General features: G+C 46.4%; 2 protein-coding genes across 80 annotated transcripts in view, besides 2 other annotated features; one reads left to right on the top strand and one right to left on the bottom strand.

The window, feature by feature from the left end:
- The window catches only part of FLACC1 (flagellum associated containing coiled-coil domains 1), a 76019-nt gene extending 66767 nt beyond the window's left edge, over nucleotides 1–9252 (top strand). For 4 of the 12 annotated variants that reach the window (XM_024452696.2, NM_139163.4, XM_011510610.4 and 1 more), the window contains 3 exons: nucleotides 7669–7827; nucleotides 7957–8066; nucleotides 8742–9252. In XM_024452696.2, coding sequence (XP_024308464.1) covers nucleotides 7669–7827; nucleotides 7957–8066; nucleotides 8742–8868 — 396 coding nt within the window. In that variant the 3' untranslated portion in view covers nucleotides 8869–9252. Of the gene's footprint in view, nucleotides 1–7663; nucleotides 7828–7956; nucleotides 8127–8741 lie in introns of those variants that run through there. The other 8 variants (XM_047443393.1, NM_001289993.2, NM_001127391.3 and 5 more) reach the window with 6 other exon arrangements.
- Nucleotides 8949–9093: an enhancer, noted in NCBI's record as "145 bp 2:202153225 sequence used in MPRA reporter constructs". NCBI's record gives its function as "activates a minimal TATA-containing promoter with rs700635 allelic activity by MPRAs in C283T melanocytes {active_cell/tissue: C283T}" and the evidence as "EXISTENCE:reporter gene assay evidence [ECO:0000049][PMID:36423637]".
- Nucleotide 9021: a transcriptional cis regulatory region, noted in NCBI's record as "rs700635 or 2:202153225 MPRA-significant variant associated with a GWAS melanoma risk locus at 2q33.1". NCBI's record gives its function as "allelic transcriptional activity by MPRAs in C283T melanocytes {active_cell/tissue: C283T}" and the evidence as "EXISTENCE:reporter gene assay evidence [ECO:0000049][PMID:36423637]".
- The window catches only part of CASP8 (caspase 8), a 54249-nt gene continuing 48162 nt past the window's right edge, over nucleotides 9812–15898 (bottom strand). For 60 of the 68 annotated variants that reach the window (NR_174598.1, NR_174588.1, NR_174583.1 and 57 more), the window contains 2 exons: nucleotides 12206–12707; nucleotides 9814–11064 (listed from right to left, as the gene is read on the bottom strand). Coding sequence is in view for 43 of the 68 variants with exons in the window: in NM_001228.5 (NP_001219.2) it covers nucleotides 10929–11064; nucleotides 12206–12707 (638 nt within the window). In the remaining 25 variants the exon portion in view is untranslated. Of the gene's footprint in view, nucleotides 11065–12205; nucleotides 12708–15898 lie in introns of those variants that run through there. The other 8 variants (XM_047445961.1, XM_047445959.1, XM_047445960.1 and 5 more) reach the window with 4 other exon arrangements.

Raw genomic sequence — 15898 nt, 5'->3', positions numbered from 1 at the left:
AGCTTTCATGGGCTTCTGGTGTTTCCTTCACCTCATTGGTCACACCTTCTCAATCTCCTTTACTAGAACTAGAACTCTGCTTAAAACCCTTCAATGGCACCCCACTGTTCTCCCACCTACTTTCTAAGTCCTGGAGTATTTTGAGGCTTGTTCCCAGGCCCCACTTATCTTCTTTATCTCCCGTTTCTCCTTTGGTGAGCTCATCTGTTCACACAGATGTAAAAGCCATCTCTGTACTGATAACTTGGTTTGATACCTCCAGCCTTGCCTCTCTCCTGAGCTCCAGGCTTGTACATCCAACTGCCCATTTGACATTTCAACATAGGTGACATACAGACACCTCAAAATTAACATGCCCAGTTCCACACTCTCAATTTTCCACCAGAGATTTAGCCCCCAAATTGTCAACTCCCTCAGCTGTTCTAAGCCTAGACCTGAAGTCATCCTTGATTTCTTCTTTCCTTTCACTCTCCCAAATTCAACCCAGCAGCCTCAGCCAATCCTCTATAACATAATCCAAATTCATCCACGTCCCTCCAACTCTGTTGTCACCTTACCCTAGTCCATTATTTCTCACCTACACGACTGTAGTATTCTCCTCCTTAGTTCCGTTGCTTTCCCTCTTGCCCTTCCAATCCATCCCCATGGAGCATAATGTAAACAGTAAGATACGTGCATTCACTTCTCTGCTTAAAACCCTTCAGTAGGTCCCCATTGTTCTTAGGTTACCTTGTCCTCTCAGGTGCCACCAGACTTCCCTGTATTTCCTCACCATGGCCCTCTATCCTTACTATCTCTATTCCAGCCATATTGGTGTTCCTTTGGGTCCTCAAACAGAATGAGAATTTTGCATTTTTTTTATTATACTGTAAGTTTTAGGGTACATGTGCATAATGTACAGGTTTGTTACATATGTATACATGTGCCATGTTGGTGTGCTGCACCCAGTAACTCGTCATTTAACATTAGGTATATCTCCTAATGCTATCCCTCCCCCCTCCCCCCACCCCACAACAGGCCCCGGTGTGTGATGTTCCCCTTCCTGTGTCCATGTGTTCTCATTGTTCAATTCCCACCTCTGAGCAAGAACATGTGGTGTTTGGTTTTTTGTCCTTGCCATAGTTTGCTCAGAATGATGGTTTCCAGCTTCATCCATGTCCCTACCAAGGACATGAGCTCATCATTTTTTATGGCTGCATAGTATTCCATGGTATATATGTGCCACATTTTCTTAATCCAGTCTATCATTGTTCGACATTTGGGTTGGTTCCAAGTCTTTGCTATTGTGAGTAGTGCCGCAATAAACATACGTGTGCATGTGTCTTTATAGCAGCATGATTTATAATCCTTTGGGTATATACCCAGTAATGGGATGGCTGGGCCAAATGGGATTTCTAGTTCTAGATCCCTGAGGAATCGCCACACTGACTTCCACAATGGTTGAACTAGTTTACAGTCCCACCAACAGTGTAAAAGTGTTCCTGTTTCTCCACATCCTCTCCAGCACCTGTTGTTTCCTGACTTTTTAATGATCGCCATTCTAACTGGTGTGAGATGGTATCTCATTGTGGTTTGATTTGCATTTCTCTGATGGCCAGTGATGATGAACATTTTTTCATGTGTCTTTTGGCTGCATAAATGTCTTCTTTTGAGAAGTGTCTGTTCATATCCTTTGCCCACTTGTTCATGGGGTTGTTTGTTTTTTTCTTGTAAATTTGTTTGAGTTCATTGTAGATTCTGGAATATTAACCCTTTGTCAGATGAGTAGGTTGCAAAAATTTTCTCTCATTCTGTAGGTTGCTTGTTCACTCTGATGGTAGTTTCTTTTGCTGTGCAAAAGCTCTTTAGTTTAATTAGATCCCATTTGCCAATTTAGGCTTTTGTTGCCATTGCTTTTGGTGTTTTAGACATGAAGTCCTTGCCCATGCCTATGTCCTGAATGGTATTGCCTAGATTTTCTTCTAGGGTTTTTATGGTTTTAGGTCTAACATTTAAGTCTTTAATCCATCTTGAATTAATTTTTGTATAAGGTGTAAGGAAGGGATCCAGTTTCAGCTTTCTACATATGACTAGCCAGTTTTCCAAGCACCATTTATTAAATAAGGAATCCTTTCCCCATTTCTTGTTTTTGTCAGATTTGTCAAAGATCAGATAGTGTAGATATATGGCATTATTTCTGAGGGCTCTGTTCTGTTCCATTGGTCTATATCTCTGTTTTGGTACCAGTACCATGCTGTTTTGGTTACTGTAGACTTGTAGTATAGTTTGAAGTCAGGTAGCGAGATGCCTCCAGCTTTGTTCTTTGGCTTAGGATTGACTTGGCAATGCGGGCTCTTTTTTGGTTCCAGATGAACTTTAAAGTAGTTTTTTCCAATTCTGTGAAGAAAATCATTGGTAGCTTGATGGGGATGGCATTGAATCTATAAATTACCTTGAGCATTATGGCCATTTTCACGATGTTGATTCTTCCTATCCATGAGCATGGAATGTTCTTCCATTTGTTTGTATCCTCTTTTATTTCGTTGAGCAGTGGTCAACGAAGAGGTCCTTCACATCCCTTGTGAGTTGGATTCCTAGGTATTTTATTCTCTTTGAAGCAATTGTGAATGGGAGTTCACTCATGATTTGGCTCTCTGTTTGTCTGTTATTGGTGTATAGGAATGCTTGTGATTTTTGCACATTGATTTTGTATCCTGAGACTTTGCTGAAGTTGCTTATCAGCTTAAGGAGATTTTGGGCAGAGATGATGGGGTTTTCTAGATATACAATCATGTCATCTGCAAACAGGGACAATTTGACTTCCTCTTTTCCTAATTGAATACCCTTTATTTCCTTCTCCTGCCTCATTGCCCTGGCCAGAACTTCCAACACTATGTTGAATGGGAGTGGTGAGAGAGGGCATCCCTGTCTTTTGCCAGTTTTCAAAGGGAATGCTTCCAGTTTTTGCCCATTCAGTATGATATTGGCTGTGGGTTTGTCATAGATAGCTCTTATTATTTTGAGATTCGTCCCACCAATACCTAATTTATTGAGAGTTTTTAGCATGAACGGTTTTCGAATTTTGTTGAAGGCCTTTTCTGCATCTATTGAGATAATCATGTGGTTTTTGTCATTGGTTCGGTTTATATGCTGGATTACATTTATTGATTTGCGTATGTTGAACCAGCCTTGCATCCCAGGGATGAAGCCCACTTGATCATGGTGGATAAGCTTTTTGATGTGCTGCTATATTTGGTTTGCCAGTATTTTATTGAGGATTTTTGCATCGATGTTCATCAGGGATATTGGTCTAAAATTCTCTTTTTTTGTTGTGTCTCTGCCAGGCTTTGGTATCAGGATGATGCTGGCCTCATAAAATGAGTTAGGGAGGATTCCCTCTTTTTCTATTGATTGCAATAGTTTCAAAGGAATGGTACCAGCTCCTCCTTGTACCTCTGGTAGAATTCGGCTGTGAATCCATCTGGTCCTGGACTTTTTTTGGTTAGTAAGCTATTAATTATTGCCTCAATTTCAGAGCCTGTTATTGGTCTATTCAGGGATTCAACTTCTTCCTGGTTTAGTCTTGGGAGTGTGTATGTGTCCAGGAATTTATCCATTTCTTCTAGATTTTCTAGTTTATTTGCATAGAGGTGTTTATAGTACTCTCTGATGGTAGTTTGTAGTTCTGTGGGATCGGTGGTGATATCCCCTTTATCGTTTTTTTTTGCGTCTATTTGATTCTTCTCTCTTTTCTTCTTTATTAGTCTTGCTAGCATTCTATTAATTTTGTTGATCTTTTCAAAAAACCAGCTCCTGGATTCATTGATTTTTTGAAGGGTTTTTTGTGTCTCTATCTCCTTCAGTTCTGCTCTGATCTTAGTTATTTCTTGCCTTCTGCTAGCTTTTGAATGTGTTTGCTCTTGCTTCTCTAGTTCTTTTAATTGTGATGTTAGGGTGTCAATTTTAGATCTTTCCTGCTTTCTCTTGTGGGCATTTAGTGCCATAAATTTCCCCTACACACTGCTTTAAATGTGTCCCAGAGATTCTGGTATGTTGTGTCTTTGTTCTCATTGGTTTTGAAGAACATCTTTATTTCTGCCTTCATTTCATTATGTACCCAGTAGTCATTCAGGAGCAGGTTGTTCAGTTTCCATGTAGTTGTGTGGTTTTGAGTGAGTTTCTTAATCTTGAGTTCTAGTTTGATTGCACTGTGGTCTGAGAGACGGTTTGTTGTGATTTCTGTTCTTTTACATTTGCTGAGGAGTGCTTTACTTCCAACTATGTGGTCAATTTTGGAATATGTGCGATGTGGTGCTGAGAAGAATGTATATTCTGTTCATTTGGGGTGGAGAGTTCTGTAGATGTCTATTAGGTCTGCTTGGTGCAGAGCTGAGTTCAATTCCTGGATATCCTTGTTAACTTTCTGTCTCGTGGAGCTGTCTAATGTTGACAGTGGGGTGTTAAAGTCTCCCATTATTATTGTGTGGGAGTCTAAGTCTTTTTGTAGGTCTCTAAGGACTTACTTTATGAATCTGGCTGCTCCTGTATTGGGTGCATATATATTTAGGATAGTTAGCTCTTCTTGTTGAATTAATCCCTTTACCATTATATAATGGCCTTCTTTGTCTCTTTTGATCTTTGTTAATTGAAAGTCTGTTTTATCAGAGACTAGTATTGCAACCCCTGCCTTTTTTTGTTTTCCATTTGCTTGGTAGATCTTCCTCCATCCCTTTATTTTGAGCCTCTGTGTGTCTCTGCATGTAAGGTGGGTTTCCTGAATACAGCACACTGATGGGTCTTGACTATCCAATTTGCCAGTCTGTGTCTTTTAATTGGAGCATTTAGCCCATTTACATTTAAGGTTAATATTGTTATGTGTGAATTTGATCCTGTCATTCTGATGTTAGCTGGTTATTTTGCTCGTTAGTTGATGCAGTTTCTTCCTAGCCTCGATGGTCTTTACAATTTGACATGTTTTTGCAGTGGCTGGTACCGGTTGTTCCTTTCCATGTTTAGTGTTTCCTTCAGGAGCTCTTTTAAGGCAGGCCTGGTGTGACCAAATCTCTCAGCATTTGCTTGTCTGTAAAGTATTTTATTTCTCCTTCAATCATGAAGCTTAGTTTGACTGGATATGAAATTCTGGGTTGAAAATTCTTTTCTTTAAGAATGTTGAATATTGGCCCTCACTCTCTTCTGGCTTGTAGAGTTTCTGCTGACAGATCTGCTGTTAGTCTGATGGGCTTCCCTTTGTGGGTAACCCGAGCTTTCTCTCTGGCTGCCCTTAACATTTTTTCCTTCATTTCAATTTTGGTGAATCTGACAGTTATGTGTCTTGGAGTTGCTCTTCTCGAGGAGTATCTTTATGCTGTTCTCTGTATTTCCTGAATCTGATTGTTGGCCTGCCTTGCTCGGTTGGGGAAGTTCTCCTGGATAATATCCTGCAGAGTGTTTTCCAACTTGGTTCCATTCTCCCTGTCACTTTCAGGTACACCAATCAGACGTAGATTTGGTCTTTTCACATAGTCCCATATTTCTTGGAGGCTTTGTTCATTTCTTCTTATTCTTTTTTTTCTAAACTTCTCTTCTTGCTTCATTTCATTCATTTGATCTTCCATCACTGATACCCTTTCTTCCAGTTGATCGAATCGGCTACTGAGGCTTGTGCATTTGTCACATACTTCTTGTGCCATGGTTTTCAGCTCCATCAGGTCCTTTAAGGACTTCTCTGCATTGGTTATTCTAGTTAGCCATTCGTCTAATCTTTTTTCAAGGTTTTTAACTTCTTGGCCATGAGTTCGAACTTTCTCCTTTAGCTCGGAGTAGTTTGATCATCTGAAGCCTTCTTCTCTCAACTCGTCAAAGTCATTCTCCATCCAGCTTTGTTCTGTTGCTGGCGAGGAGCTGCATTCCTTTGGAGGAGGAGAGGCACTCTGATTTTTAGAATTTTCAGTTTTTCTGCTCTGTTTTTTCCCCATCTTTGTGGTTTTATCTACCTTTGGTCTTTGATGACAGTGACGTACAGATGGGGTTTTGGTGTGGATATCCTTTCTGTTTGTTAGTTTTCCTTCTAACAGTCAGGACCCTCAGCTGCAGGTCTGTTGGAGTTTGCTGGAGGTCCACTCTAGACCCTGTTTGCCTGGGTATCAGCAGCGGAGGCTGCAGAACAGCAGATATTGGTGAACAGCAAATGTTGCTGTCTGATTGTTCCTCTGAAAGTTTTGTCTCAGAGGAGTACCCAGCCGTGTGATGTGTCAGTCTGCCCCTACTGGGGGGTGCCTCCCAGTTAGGCTACTCAGGGGTCAGGGACCCACTTGAGGAGGCAGTCTGTCCATTCTCAGATCTCAAGCTGCGTGCTGGGAGAACCATTACTCTCTTCAAGCTGTCAGACAGGGACATTTAAGTCTGCAGAGGTTTCTGCTGCCTTTTGTTTGGTTATGCCTGCCCCCAGAGGTGGAGTCTACAGAGGCAGGCAGGCCTCCTTGAGCTGCGGTGGGCTCCACCCAGTTCGAGCTTCCTGGCCACTTTGTTTACCTACTCAATCCTCAGCAATGGTGGGCGCCCCTCCACCAGCCTCACTGCCACCTCGCAGTTTGATCTCAGACTGCTGTGCTAGCAATGAGCAAGGCTCCGTGGGCGTAGGACCTTATGAGCCAGGCATGGGATACAATCTTCTGGTGTGCCGTTTGCTAAGACTGTTGGAAAATGCAGTATTAGGGTGGGAGTGACCTGATTTTCCAGGTGCCATCTGTCACCCCTTTCCTTGGCTAGGAAAGGGAATTCCCTGACCCCTTGCACTTCCCGGATGATGTGATGCCTCGCCCTGCTTCGGCTCATGCTCAGTGCACTGCACCCACTGTACTGCACCCACTGTCTGACAATCCCCAGTGAGATGAACACGATACCTCAGTTGGAAATGCAGAAATCATACGTCTTCTGCATCGCTCACGCTGGGAGCTGTAGACTGGAGCTGTTCCTATTCGGCTGTCTTGGCTCCACCCCTGAGCATTTTGCATTCTAAGGACCTTTGCACAGGCTTCTATTCATTCTTTAGTGGAAGTTTGTGTGTTTGTTTCAAGAAGCTACTTTTTAGAGCAGTTTTAGGTTTACAGAAAAATTGAGCAGAAAGTACAGAGAGTTCCCATATACTACCCCACCCCACCCTACCCCACCACTAGTTTCCTTTATTATTAGTATCTTGCATTGGGATGGCACATTAGTTGCAATTGATGAGCCAATGTGGATGCATTCTTATTAACTAAAGTCCATAGTTTACATGAGGGTTCTCTCTTTGTGTTGTACATTCTGTGGGTTTTGCCTAATATGTCATGTCATGTATCCACCATTATAGTGTCATACAGAATAGTTTCACTGCTCTAAAAGTGCCCTCTATCCCACCTATTCATCCCTCCCTTCCCCTCCAAATCCCTAGAAACCACTAATCTTTTTTCTCTCTCTATAGTTTTGCCTTTTCCAGAGTGTCATATAATTGGAATCGGTAGTAGGTATTTAATAAAGACTTGCTTAGTGAATGAATAACTGATTGCCATTAGAACCATTCATATGAGCTCTGGTGAGGCTGAAGAGAAGGATATAGATGGGTGAGACAGAGAGGAGGCAGGACTGACAGGGTGTGAGTGGCCATGAGTGATGCAAAAGTAGCTCAGGTTGCTCCCTTTCATCATAGTCCAGGTGCCCTGGAGAAGAGACCAAATAAATAGACATTGGCATGATGTCCTGCAACAGCTTCTTCTTATGCAGGTCATGCAGGAAGAATTGCATGCACAAGCCCTTATCCTAGAGTCACTGAACACAAACCTCTACTATACCCAGTTGGAACTCCAGAAAGAGGTGAGTCCCTACTGGAGTGGGGATGGGGGTTGGGGGAAGAACCCAGGTCTCCATCCAGCTCTGCCATATAGCTCTGCCCTGGATGGCTCTGGGTTGGGGAAGATGGCTATTAAAATGTATGTCTTTCAGAAAGCTATAGTGGGAAATCTGGAGAAAATGCTTCAAACCAAGTTTGCTGAAACTGAAGAAAAGTATAAGCACACCATACAGATCCTGACGGAAGAGAACATTCATCTGAAGTGCGGCTGCTGCTGAAAAAGACATAGCTGAGTTCTCTTTAGGAGTGGGAAGGAGTTTGAGTGAGGAATGGGTTAGGAAGATAGACCAACTGCTCCCTAGTTATGTCAAGGCACAGGTGTTTTCGGGAGGGAGGTATGTCACTCTAGGCCAGTGACACAAAGCCAGATAGTTCACTTGAGGTGGAGTGGAGATGTGTCTATACTTCTCCCATTCACCTGTGTCCTTGTTTCTATGCAAAACAACACAGGACATTTGTCTTCCAGTTTCTGAGTTTGCTCAGTTCTATGACTGAGGGTGGTTTTTAAATCCATCTCCCCTGGGAGTCTGATGGTCTTGCCATTACATGCAGCTGCTTCTGGTTCCTATGGAAATCACCTTTGGATCAGAAGGTGTACTGTTACCTGAAGCTGCATCTTAAATCATTAAAATAAATTTTGGTCAATACTTTAATAGAAGAAAGTTATTTATTGCATTGATTTAGTAGAAAATTCCTCGTATAGGACTTTAGTCACCTGAACACCATACCTCACTAAATTCAAAACCACTGCAAGTAATGAGTGAGAGACTGCTGTGGTGAAGGAACGAAGGCACATTTCTCTCCCTGCACTCCAAATATCCTATACCCTTTCTAGCTTTTGAGTTGACATTGATACATCTTTCCTTTCTTTTTACAGGCAAAAGATAATTTCTAAGAATGAAGAAATTTGTGAAGGATGTTCTGGGAGATTGGCCTCTATTACTGTTTCTAAGGATGATTCTGACACTGTGCAAGATGGTAGCAAGAAAGGACAAGAATCATAAACAAAAAGTTGCTCTGCATTGTTGAAGATGGTTGGCACACCATTTCTGTAGGCCCAGGAAACTCCTGGGAGGGTTTTCTTGAGAAAATGCATATAATGAGTTTAGTTCTTGGGTTGCTCTGACTCTCTGAATGTCTGAAAATGTTTGAATTCGCATCTGAATTTCACAGCTTATCACGGACTCTTCACTGAAAAATGATGCTCTCCATACTGGGAGCTGAGCTTTCTCTGAGTTTTGTACTATTTTTCTTCTACCTTGACGTATTTCGTTAGAAAGAAACTGATTTGAAGGCCTTCTTCATATTGAACTTTTACTATATTTGGGAGGTGTACCTTTGTCCCCTGGGGCATTTAGGTAGCAAAAAAAGATGATGTGTTGATTTTACTCTAAAATATTTTTCTCTCACACCCATGCCCCCTACTTCCCTACCTCTCAATCATGTTCCCTAACCTATGACTTAGGAAGGGTTTCTGATGATTCTTACCACCTCCTCTGGACCATCACCAGAATTCAGACACCCACAGTGCAGGCAACATAAATAAGTGAAGTGGGCTAGACATAAGGAAAACAATTGCCCAAGCACAGTGATAAGTGGCAACCAACAGCAGCCTCAGTAGAGGGGCTTGGGCAGGGCTGGGGCACAGCGGATGGGGAAGAGTGACCCACAGAGCACTGTCCCATCTGAAGAAGGTGCTTCTCAGACCTTTGCCATGCAAAAGCATGAGGTCAATATTGTCAGATAGTATGATTTTTTAAAAGAAGTTATTCTGGTTTTTATGTGATATCTCCTAATTTTTAAACATTGACAACAAATTTTAAAAATACAACTGTGTGTGCCGATCATGGGAGACTCAAGTAGAACATGTCTGTAGTCCAGATGTTTTCCACCTGTGAGATGTCATTGGCAGAAACCAAAACCAAACACAAAAAATCTCCAAGGAGCAATAAGATCAAATTATATTTTATTCTATTAAAAAATGTTTTTGAAAAAAGATACTTAAATTTTAAAGATAACTTAATTCCTAATGATTTAAAATAATCCAAGCAGAGATGAAAGAGCAAATGCAAATGCATAAAAAGACCCCAGAGCATTGTTAGCAAAAAGCAAATATAGTTAGCCAAGCATATATATATCATAAAAGCAATAAGAAGGCATAAAGCAAGTTTGGGGAGAGCTTATTTAAAACTTGTAAAAATCATTTGAATTTTTAAAAGATTTCAAACAAATTTTGTTTTATTAAAAAAAAAATTTTTTTTGAGACGGGGTCTTGTTCTGTCACCCAAGCTTGAGTGCAGCGGTGTGAACATGGCTCACTGCAGCCTTGACCTCTTGGGTTCAAGCAATCCTCCCACCTCAACCTCCCAAAGTGCTGGGATTATAGACATGAGCCACCATACGTGGCTACTTTCTAATTTTTTTAATGTGGTAGTGTGGAATTTAGCTTTGAAAGAGAATTAAAGTTAATAGAATATTAACAGTGGGCTTATAGTTGATAGATAACAATCTGAATCATAAGCCCTCTATATTCATAGCTGGATTTTGTACGTGTCTGGTATTTATTGCCACCAGCTAAAAACATTCCCAAAGCCTTAAGCATAAGAGAAAGGAGACAGTGTTATTGTTGTTAATATCCTATTTAACTTTAGCTCTTATAAAAAAGTGCAAAACAATTAATAAAGTAGAAAATCTAGAAAATTAGTAAATAAACATAGTGTTATATCTAAATAGTACCATCGGCCAGGCGCGGTGGCTCACGCCTGTAATCCCAGCACTTTGGGAGGCCGAGGTGGGTGGATCACGAGGTCAGGAGATCAAGACCACCCTGGCTAACACAGTGAAACCCTGTCTCTACTAAAAATATTTTTAAAAAATTAGCCAGGTGTGGTGGCGGGCCCCTGTAGTCCCAGCTACTCGGGAGGCTGAGGCAGGAGAATGGCCTGAACCCGGGAGGCGGAGCTTGCGGTGAGCCGAGATCACGCCACTGCACTCCAGCCTGGGCGACAGAGCGAGATTCTGTCTCAAAAAAACAAAACAAAACAAAACAAACAAAATAGCACCATCAATCAGAAGGGAAGACAAGTTTTTTTCTTAGTGTGAAAGTAGGCTGAGGCATCTGTTTCCCCATGTTTTTCTTGTCATCCTTGTTGCTTACTTCATAGTTCACTTCAGTCAGGATGGTGAGAATATCATCGCCTCTGAAATACATCACATAATATTGTGACTGTCTGTGGGGGAAAGCAACTGATGAACTGTCTCCTCTGCTGTGCTCAGAGATAGTTCTGTAGTTCTTTCTCTCAAAATATCAGTCATTTGAAACAATAAGGTGCGAAACCAAGACCTACCCCAGCTTTCCTGGTAAATGGGTTGTCTCAGAGCTTAATAACTTACTTTTGGTTTATTCAGGAACTCTTTTGACCATCAGAAACCTCGGTGTCAGTATTAGAGTTGGTTTCTTTCTCTCCTGACCTGTGTGTCTCTCACTCTTCTCCACGTTACTTGGCTCCCCATTGCTTCAATGCCCCCCAATACTCTCTGCCTCGAATTGACATCGCATCTGCGGATTCATCTTTGATGCAATTAAACTTAAGGCAAGTGAAAGTATAACGTCTCCTGCAGCTACTCCCACCTTCTTCTCACCAGGATCTCTTAGCATTTTTGTTAGGCAACCTCTTCTTCTACCTTGGTAGCTAGCCGCGGAAACCTTGCAGGATTCATGATCTAAGTTACGAAATCTAAGTTAGATTCATGATCTAAGTTACGGGAAATTCTCACTCTTCATATACTCAAAACATGAAATACAGGGCTAGAAGGAACCTGCTATTTATCTCCCATAATGCACCAAGAGGTTTTGAGGATGGTTTGCTATTATAGAACTTTTGACAGAGTTGGAGGATGTTTAAACATTGAATTGGGTTACTGCCTTCTTGGAAGATTTCCAAAACTAGTTGAATTGGCTCAGTCATGTTTTGGCCTAAAGACAGAGAGCTGGAGTATATGACTTTCCTATCCTTTCCTGCTCTGTGATACCCTGATTGTCCTTTGAGGTGCTGAATAAAGGAATAAAGCATCTCAGCTTTTCCATCTATAAACTAAGGATGTTAACACTTGCCACTCTCCCACTTTGTAACTGACCTGGGAAATGCAGCTATGTGATCTACAGCTAGACATTTAGAGTTGAACGGAAACCACTCCCCTTGGACAGTTCTCTGACCTGTTAATGTGATCTAAATCACATAGCACTTTCTAATAGGCTCTGAATATGAGTAGATAGTAGTGTGATGGAGTAGGGGGGGAAGGTAGTGTAACAGTGAGGAGGGCTGAGTAGGCAAAACTTACCGAGGACATCGCTCTCTCAGGCTCTGGCAAAGTGACTGGATGTACCAGGTTCCCTCTGCAGGGTTTCGGTAGGAAACACAGTTATTCACAGTGGCCATCCCCAGCAGAAAGTCAGCCTCATCCGGGATATATCTCGTTTGAGGTGATGATAAATCCATTTCTAAATAGGGTTGCTCCTCTGAATCAGTCTCAACAGGTATACCTTTCTGGTAGTTATCCCCCTGACAAGCCTGAATAAAAAACACTTTGGGTTTTCCAGCAAGGGAAGGGCACTTCAAACCAGTGAACTGAGATGTCAGCTCATAGATGGGGGCCTCCTGTCCATCAGTGCCATAGATGATGCCCTTGTCTCCATGGGAGAGGATACAGCAGATGAAGCAGTCCATGTTACTGTGGTCCATGAGTTGGTAGATTTTCAAAATCTCATAGATTTGCTCTACTGTGCAGTCATCGTGGGGCTTGATCTCAAAATGAAGCTCTTCAAAGGTCGTGGTCAAAGCCCCTGAAAAGTGAAATTTGAACAGTCACGTTATACCACAGTAATTCACAGACCACAGCTGGAGAGCACAGTGGGCATAACATTGATAGATAAGAATTTGACCCCTCTCCCTCTCCCTCTCCCCGTCTCCCTCTCCCTCTCCCTCTCCCCGTCTCCCTCTCCCTCTCATGCCGAGCCAAAGCTGGACGGTACTGCTGCCATCTCGGCTCACTGCAACCTCCCTGCCTGATTCTCCTGCCTCAGCCTGCCGAGTGCCTGCGATTGCAGGCGCGCGCCGCCACGCCTGACTGGTTTTCGTTTTTTTTTTGGTGGAGATGGGGTTTCGCTGTGTTGGCCGGGCTGGTCTCCAGCTCCTAACCGCGAGTGATCCGCCAGCCTCGGCCTCCCGAGGTGCCGGGATTGCAGATGGAGTCTCGTTCACTCAGTGCTCAATGGTGCCCAGGCTGGAGTGCAGTGGCGTGATCTCGGCTTGCTACAACCACCTCCCAGCCGCCTGCCTTGGCCTCCCAAAGAGCCGAGATTGCAGCCTCTGCCCGGCCGCCACGCCGTCTGGGAAGTGAGGAGCGTCTCTGCTTGGCCACCCATCGTCTGGGATATGAGGAGCCCCTCTGCCTGGCTGCCCAGTGTGGAAAGTGAGGAGCGTCTCTGCCCGGCCGCCATCCCATCTAGGAAGCGAGAAGCGCCTCTTCCCCGCCGCCATCCCATCTAGGAAGTGAGGAGCGTCTCTGCCCGGCCGCCCATCGTCTGAGATGTGGGGAGCACCTCTGCCCCACCGCCCTGTCTGGGATGTGAGGAGCGCCTCTGCTGGGCCGCAACCCTGTCTGGGAGGTGAGGAGTGTCTCTGCCCGGCCGCTCCGTCTGAGAAGTGAGGAAACCCTCTGCCTGGCAACCGCCCCGTCTGAGAAGTGAGGAGCCCCTCCGTCTGGCAACCACCCCGTCTGGGAAGTGAGGAGCGTCTCCGCCCGGCAGCCACCCCGTCCGGGAGGGAGGTGGGGGGGGTCAGCCCCCCGCCCGGCCAGCCGCCCCGTCCGGGAGGTGAGGGGCTCCTCTGCCCGGCCGCCCCTACTGGGAAGTGAGGAGCCCCTCTGCCCGGCCAGCCGCCCCGTCCGGGAGGGAGGCGGGGGGGGGTGGTCGGCCATCCGCCCCGTCCGGGAGGTGAGGGGCGCCTCTGCCCGGCCGCCCCTACTGGGAAGTGAGGACCCCTCTGCCCGGCCAGCCGCCCCGTCCGGGAGGGAGGTGGGGGGGTCAGCCCCCCGCCCGGCCAGCCGCCCCGTCCGGGAGGTGAGGGGCTCCTCTGCCCGGCCGCCCCTACTGGGAAGTGAGGAGCCCCTCTGCCCGGCCAGTCGCCCCGTCCAGGAGGGAGGTGGGGGGGTCAACCCCCCGCCCGGCCAGCCGCCCAGTCCGGGAGGGAGGTGGGGGGTCAGCCCCCCGCCTGGCCAGCCGCCCCGTCCGGGAGGTGAGGGGCGCCTCTGCCCGGCCGCCCCTACTGGGAAGTGAGGAGCCCCTCTGCCCGGCCAGTCGCCCCGTCCAGGAGGGAGGTGGGGGTTCAACCCCCCGCCCGGCCAGCCGCCCAGTCCGGGAGGGAGGTGGGGGGTCAGCCCCCCGCCTGGCCAGCCGCCCCGTCCAGGAGGTGAGGGGCGCCTCTGCCCGGCCGCCCCTACTGGGAAGTGAGGAGCCCCTCTGCCCGGCCAGCCGCCCCGCCCAGGAGGGAGGTGGGGGGGTCAGCCCCCCGCCCGGCCAGCCGCCCCGTCCGGGAGGGGGGAGGGGGGGTCAGCCCCCTGCCCGGCCAGCCGCCCCGTCCGGGAGGGAGGTGGGGGGGGTCAGCCCCCCGCCCGGCCAGCCGCCCCGTCCGGGAGGGAGGTGGGGGGATCAGCCCCCTGCCTGGCCAGCCGCCCCGTCCGGGAGGTGAGGGGCGCCTCTGCCCGGCCGCCCCTACTGGGAAGTGAGGAGCCCCTCTGCCCGGCCAGCCGCCCCGTCCGGGAGGGAGGTGGGGGGGTCAGCCCCCCTTCCGGCCGGCTGCCCCGTCCGGGAGGTGAGGGGCGCCTCTGCCGGGCCGCCCCTACTGGGAAGTGAGGACCCCTCTGCCCGGCCAGCCGCCCCATCCGGGAGGGAGGTGGGGGGAACAGCCCCCCGCCCGGCCAGCCGCCCTATCCAGGAGGTGAGGGGCGCCTCTGCCCGGCCGCCCCTACTGGGAAGTGAGGAGCCCCTCTGCCTGGCCAGCCGCCCCGTCCGGGAGGGCGGTGGGGGGGTCAGCCCCCCGCCCGGCCAGCCGCCCCATCTGGGAGGTGAGGGGCGCTTCTGCCGGGCCGCCCCTACTGGGAAGTGAGGAGCCCCTCTGCCCGGCCACGACCCCGTCTGGGAGGTGTGCCCAGCGGCTCATTGGGGATGGGCCATGATGACAATGGCGGTTTTGTGGAATAGAAAGGCGGGAAGGGTGGGGAAAAAATTGAGAAATCGGATGGTTGCCGGGTCTGTGTGGATAGAAGTAGACATGGGAGACTTTTCATTTTGTTCTGTACTAAGAAAAATTCTTCTGCCTTGGGATCCTGTTGATCTGTGACCTTATCCCCAACCCTGTGCTCTCTGAAACATGTGCTGTGTCCACTCAGGGTTAAATGGATTAAGGGCGGTGCAAGATGTGCTTTGTTAAACAGATGCTTGAAGGCAGCATGCTCGTTAAGAGTCATCACCACTCCCTAATCTTAAGTACCCAGGGACACAAACACTGCGGAAGGCCGCAGGGTCCTCTGCCTAGGAAAACCAGAGACCTTTGTTCACTTGTTTATCTGCTGACCTTCCCTCCACTATTGTCCTGTGACCCTGCCAAATCCCCCTCTGCGAGAAACACCCAAGAATGATCAATAAAAAAAAAAAAAAAAAAAAAAGAATTTGAACCAGAAATTCAAGAGCAAAACCCTCTATATTCGTAGCTGGATTCTGCAGGCTTCTAATATTTATTGCCACCAGCTAAAAACATTCTCAAACCCTGAAGCAAATGAGAAAGGAGAGAGTGTTATTGTTGGTCTGTTTTCTCTAGTAAACTAGTTTACAAGATGGGTAAGCTATCATTTAGGCTTACTACTGAACCAATTTTAAAAATGATTATATTATTTACATAATCAGAAAAAAACAAAACAATTTTTGAATAAAAGATCCAACTTATTTTATCCTAAACCTTCTCAAAATTATTTATG

The sequence above is a fragment of the Homo sapiens genome, chromosome 2, assembly GCF_000001405.40.
Source record: "Homo sapiens chromosome 2, GRCh38.p14 Primary Assembly".
Taxonomy (NCBI): Eukaryota; Metazoa; Chordata; class Mammalia; order Primates; family Hominidae; genus Homo; species Homo sapiens.
The sequence above is the reverse complement of the archived record's forward strand: the minus strand, read 5'-3'. Positions and strand labels throughout refer to the sequence as shown.